General features: G+C 49.6%; 1 annotated feature.

Annotated features, from left to right (window-relative positions):
* Nucleotides 527-727: a silencer, noted in NCBI's record as "peak7340 fragment used in MPRA reporter construct". NCBI's record gives its function as "represses an SCP1 promoter by STARR-seq MPRAs in K562 erythroleukemia cells {active_cell/tissue: K562}" and the evidence as "EXISTENCE:reporter gene assay evidence [ECO:0000049][PMID:32103011]".

Here is a 5,310-nt window from a genome sequence, read left to right as displayed (position 1 = left end):
CAGTACTCCTAATGTCTGAGGCTCTGCCATCCTCCACTCATTTCCAGGGTGTCAGCACCTTACCCAATGCCAATCCCAGGCTCCCTGTATGCCTTTCCTCCCCGGGCACCGAGGCCTGGCTGCCTGCCCACCTTGCACACATCACCAGCCTTCCTTGCGCATGGCTTTGCTGACCAGTCCCTGCTCCCTGCTCAGGCGCTAGAGATTGGCGATGTCTGCAGGCTGAGAGCTGCCTGGCAGGCAGGGAGACTGGTACATCTATCTGTCAGCTTTGCCATCCTGTACCTGGGCAATTCCCTATGACAGACTGCTGTACAGGGTCCCTCCACCTCAGTGTCCAGAGACGTCACCAGGCCAGAGCACACCCACTGAGCGCCTACTGTGTACCAGAGCCCGGGATGCCCCCACACCGGGTCTACTCCCGCTTCATCTTTAAGTCAAACCGCAAGGCAGGTTGTGCTGACCGCCCCCCTCTAAACACGAGCCAGGGTCAAATTTGGGATGAAGTGTGTAGAAAGTAAAAGTTCCTCTTCAAAGTTTCCCTTCTTGTTAAAAATAAATCATAAGGGTTAGAAATAATAGTTTCTTTTAAAGACTAGCTTTATGCTAGACATGCTCACAGGCATGTAATATATTCTATGTCCTTGTACTTTAACCAAGACATCTGTGCTGGACGTGATCACAGGCATGTCCCAGCTCACAGCCCATGCCCCTTCCTTATTTGGGAATGTTATTACTTTTCTAAGTCCTTTCGTAAGCAACTTCCTCTTTTCCTTTATCCTTCCATTACTTTTACCTATTTAGAAAATTTCTTTTTTTTTTTTTTTTGAGATGGAGTCTTGCTGTCTCCCAGGCTGGAGTGCAGTGGCACGATCTCGGCTCAGTGCAAGCTCCGCTTCCCGAGTTCACGCCATTCTCCTGACTCAGCCTCCTGAGTAGCTGGGACTACAGGCACCCGCCACCACACCCGGCTAATTTTTTGTATTTTTAGTAGAGACAGGGATTCACCATGTTAGCCAGGATGGTCTCGATCTCCTGACCTCGTGATACGCCCGCCTCGGCCTCCCAAAGTGCTGGGATTACAAGCGTGAGCCACCGCGCCTGGCCGAAAAGTTTTAAACTGTTAGCCAATCAGGTTTTAGTTTAGATTGTGCGGTCTGGCTCCTGCCAATGGAGACAGGACGCAGTAGCTGGGACAAACTGCGTGAGGAATAAAAATTGCTTCCCTCCTTTGTTCGGATGTGCTCTCGCCATTATTCCATCTGCGATGAGCACCCTTTCTGCAGAAAGTACAAAAGGCCTTGCTGAGAGGATTAAATTTATGTTCAAGTGCTATTTCTTTGCAGCACCGGGGAACAAGCATTTACATATAACAGTGTGTCTAGGGGCAGGGATGGCCTTTCTGTGAACTCCTGGTCAGTGCTGGTCCCTGTATCTAGGATGTTGTCCTCTCTGATTTCCAGTCTGGAATGCTGGACCCGGCCAGGGGGAGAGGGTCTTAGCCAAGGGCCCCCTGGCTCTGGGGTCCTGAACACGGCCTCTGTTTCTCCATCCACATGATGTGGAAATAGATGGCCTGGTCCCATTCTGGCCCCTGTGAAATGAGAGGAGGTTCTGGAAAGGTGCCTTATCTAGAGCCACGCAGTCACTGGGAGGATTGCAGCAGCAGCTCGCTCCAAAGATTTAGGGTAGAGCCCAGGCTTACCACTTCTGCCTGTCACAAAGGGCTCCAGGCTTTCCCCACTAGCCCCCTTGGTAGCCTCAGCAGGGTTCACCGCACACAGCTGCTGCTGTCATTATGACTTTAGGTCTCTCTGCACCACTCAGGTGCATGTTCTGCAAGGGCAGAGGTCTCATCTGCTATGTTCTGCAGAATCCCCTAAGCCCGGTACAACTCTGGGGACAGAGCACGGGCTTCATGGGCTGTTGTTTGAAGATATGGATGGAGGAAGGCTTTATGCACACTATGTTCCTGGCACTGTTACAGCAGTGGGTATGCAGCAGGTGCTTAACAGAGACTTGCCAGAAGACTAAATGAATCAGCTGGGGAGTCAGGCTGGTATCTTTTTTTTTTCTTTTTTAGACAGAGTGTGACTCTGCCTCCCGGGCTGGAGTGTGGAGTGCAGTGGCACAATCTTGGCTCACTGGAGCCCCTGTCTCCTGGGTTCAAGCGAATCTTGTGCCTCAGCCTTCTGAGTACCTGGGATTACAAGCACGTGCTCCAACACCTGGCTAATTCTTTGTATTTTTAGTACAGACAGGGTTTTGCCATGTTGGCCAGGCTGGTCTCAAACTCCGGGCCTCAAGTGATCCATCCACCTCTGCCTCCCAAAGTGCTGGGATTATAGGTGTAAGCCATTGCGCACGGTCAGAGTGACATCTTTTGTTTCAAGCCTGGAGCATTAAGTAATGACGGAAAGTAGGGAATTGCTCAAGAAACAAAAGGACGGGGCAGGTCACAGGGACACAGGGCCAACCTGGAAAGAGCACCCAGTGGCCAAAGCTGGGATGATTAGAACAACAAAATAAATAATGTAGCATTGGATTATGACCCAAAGTATGACATAAATATACATCAGTTCATAGTGATTGAATAAATGGTGGAGAGACAGATCTTCCTTAGAGAAGAATGGAAGAATCCCAAGTGACATGTAGTACTGTCCCCCTCCAGGAGGTGGAGCTAAAACCTTTGCCCTGTGAGAGTGCAATGTGCTTAGTGCCTCTCTTCTCTCTCCCAAAGAACAGAGTACCGAGTAGGGGAACAGCAACGTCACAGTGCAGGTGCCTGGTGGGCGTGACCCCGGGCGATGAGGTCTCATGGGCTGCATGGGTCCCTGCTGTGACGAACGTGAGCAGAAGGCACTTGGCTTCACGGTCTTCTCTCTAGACTGATCAGGAGCAAACCTCAGACAGCCCCAGATGGGGGTGCATTCTGCAGAATACCCCATCCGTGCTTCTCAAACCTGTCTCGGTCATAAACAGCAAGAAAAGATTGATAAACTGTCAGAGATGGGAGGGAACTCACACCTCAGTGCAAAGCAGTGCCCTAGGTTGGATTCCGAACAGAAAAAGGGCATTGGCAGGCAGACTGGTGAAATCCAAATGTAACCTGAGTTTAATTAATAGCAATGTACCAGCCGAGTGTGGTGCTGCACTCCTGTAATCCCAGTACTTTGGGAGGCTGAGGCAGGAGGATCACTTCAGGCCAGGAGTTCAAGGCTGCAGTGAGCTTTGATTGCACCACTGCATGCCAGCCTGGGTGGTAGAGTGAGACCCTGTCTAGAAAAAAAAATAGCAATATATCCATGTCAGTTTCTTTATTATTATTAAATATATGCTATTTCATATATACCTAATGTACTATTTAAGGAATAGTTTGGGGGTTTTTTTTGAGACAGAGTCTCGCTCTTGTCACCCAGGCTGGAATGCAATGGCATGATTTCAGCTCACTGTAACCTCCGCCTCCCAGGTTCAAGTGATTCTCCTGCCTCAGCCACCCGAGTAGCTGGGATTATAGGCATGTGCCACCATGCCCGACTAATTTTGTATTTTTAGTAGAGATGGGGGTTTCGCCATGTTGACCAAGCTGGTCTCAAACTCTTGACCTCAAGCGATCCACCCACCATGTCCTCCCAAAGTGTTGGGATTACAGGCGTGAGCCACCGCACCCGGCCATAATTAATACTTAAATATAGACTATTTAAAGCGCAGGCTGGGCACAGTGACTTACATCTGTAATCTTAGAGCTTTGGGAAGCTGAGACGGGAGGATTTCTTGAGCCCAGGAGTTTGAGGCTACAGTGAGCTATAATGGCACCGCTGCACTCCAGTCTGGGTAACAAAGTGCGACCCTGTTTGTAATCATAATAATAATGTGCACCATGTAACGTTGTGAAATGCTTACAACAGTCAAACAAATGAGCATGTCCATCGTCTCACATAGTTGCCCCCTCTGTGTGCGTGCTGAGAGCCCCTAAAATCTACTCTCAGTAAGTTTTCGGTATACAATACATTATTATTGATGACTATAGTCCTCACGCTGGACTTTAGATCTTTAGACTCATTCATCCTGTGTAACTTTAACTTTGTACCCTTTGGCCTCCATCTCAATCTCCACCACCTGCAAGCCCCTGTAACCACTGTTCTACTGTTTCTATGTATTTGACACCTTTTTTTTTTTTTTTTGAGATGGAGTCTCGCTCTGTTGCCCAGTCTAGAGTGCAGTGGCTCGATCTCGGCTCACTGCAACCACTGCCTCCCAGGTTCACCCCATCCTCCTGCCTCAGCCTCCCGAGTAGCTGGGACTACAGGCTCCCGCCACCATGCCCAGCTAATTTTTTTTTTTGAATTTTTAGTGGAGATGCCGTTTCACCTGTTAGCCAGGATGGTCTTGATCTCCTGATCTCGTGATCCGCCTGCCTCGGCCTCCCAAAATGCTGGGATTACAGGCGTGAACCACCGTGCCCGGCCGTATTTGACACTTTTAAAAAATATTTTGGCCAGGTGCTGTGGCTCATGCCTGTAATCCCAACACTTCGGAAGGCCGAGGCGGGTGGATCACTTGAGGTCAGGAGTTCAAGACCAGGCTGGCCAACGTGGTGAAACACTGTCTCTAGTAAAATACAAAAATTAGCCAGGCGTGGTGGCACGCACCTGTAATCCCAGCTACTCAAGAGGCTGAGGCAGGAGAGTCACTTGAACCCAGGAAGGGAGGTGGAGGTTGCAGTGAGCAAAGATACCACCACTGCACTGCACTCCAACCTGGGCAACAGAGTGAGGCTCCATCCCCACCCCCACCCGCAAAAAAAAATTTCATATATACATGAGATCATGCAGTACTTTTCCTTCTATGTTTGGCTTATTTCATTTAGCATAATGTCTTCAGGTTCATCTATGTTGTCGCATAGGCAGGATCTCCTTTTTTTTTGAGTCAGAGTTTCACTCTTGTTGCCCAGGCTAGAGTGCAATGGCATGATCTTGGCTCACTGCAGCCTCTGCCTCCTGGATTCAAGCGATTCTCCTGCCTCAGCCTCCTGAGTAGGTGGGATTACAGGCATCCGCAACCACGCCTGGCTAATTTTTTGTATTTTTAGTGGAGACAGGGTTTCTCCATGTTGGCCAGGCTGGTCTTGAACTCCTGGCCTCAGGTGATCTGCCCGCCTTGGCTTCCCAAAGTGCTGGGATTACAGGTGTGAGCCACCGTGCCCAGCCAGAATCTCCTTTTGAAGAGCTGGAAATATTCCATTGCATGTGTAGACCACAGTTTCCTTATCTAGGCCTCTGTCAGTGGACACTTAGGTGGATTCCATGC

This window comes from Homo sapiens, chromosome 9, assembly GCF_000001405.40.
Source record: "Homo sapiens chromosome 9, GRCh38.p14 Primary Assembly".
NCBI classification, from domain to species: Eukaryota; Metazoa; Chordata; class Mammalia; order Primates; family Hominidae; genus Homo; species Homo sapiens.
The sequence above is the reverse complement of the archived record's forward strand: the minus strand, read 5'-3'. Positions and strand labels throughout refer to the sequence as shown.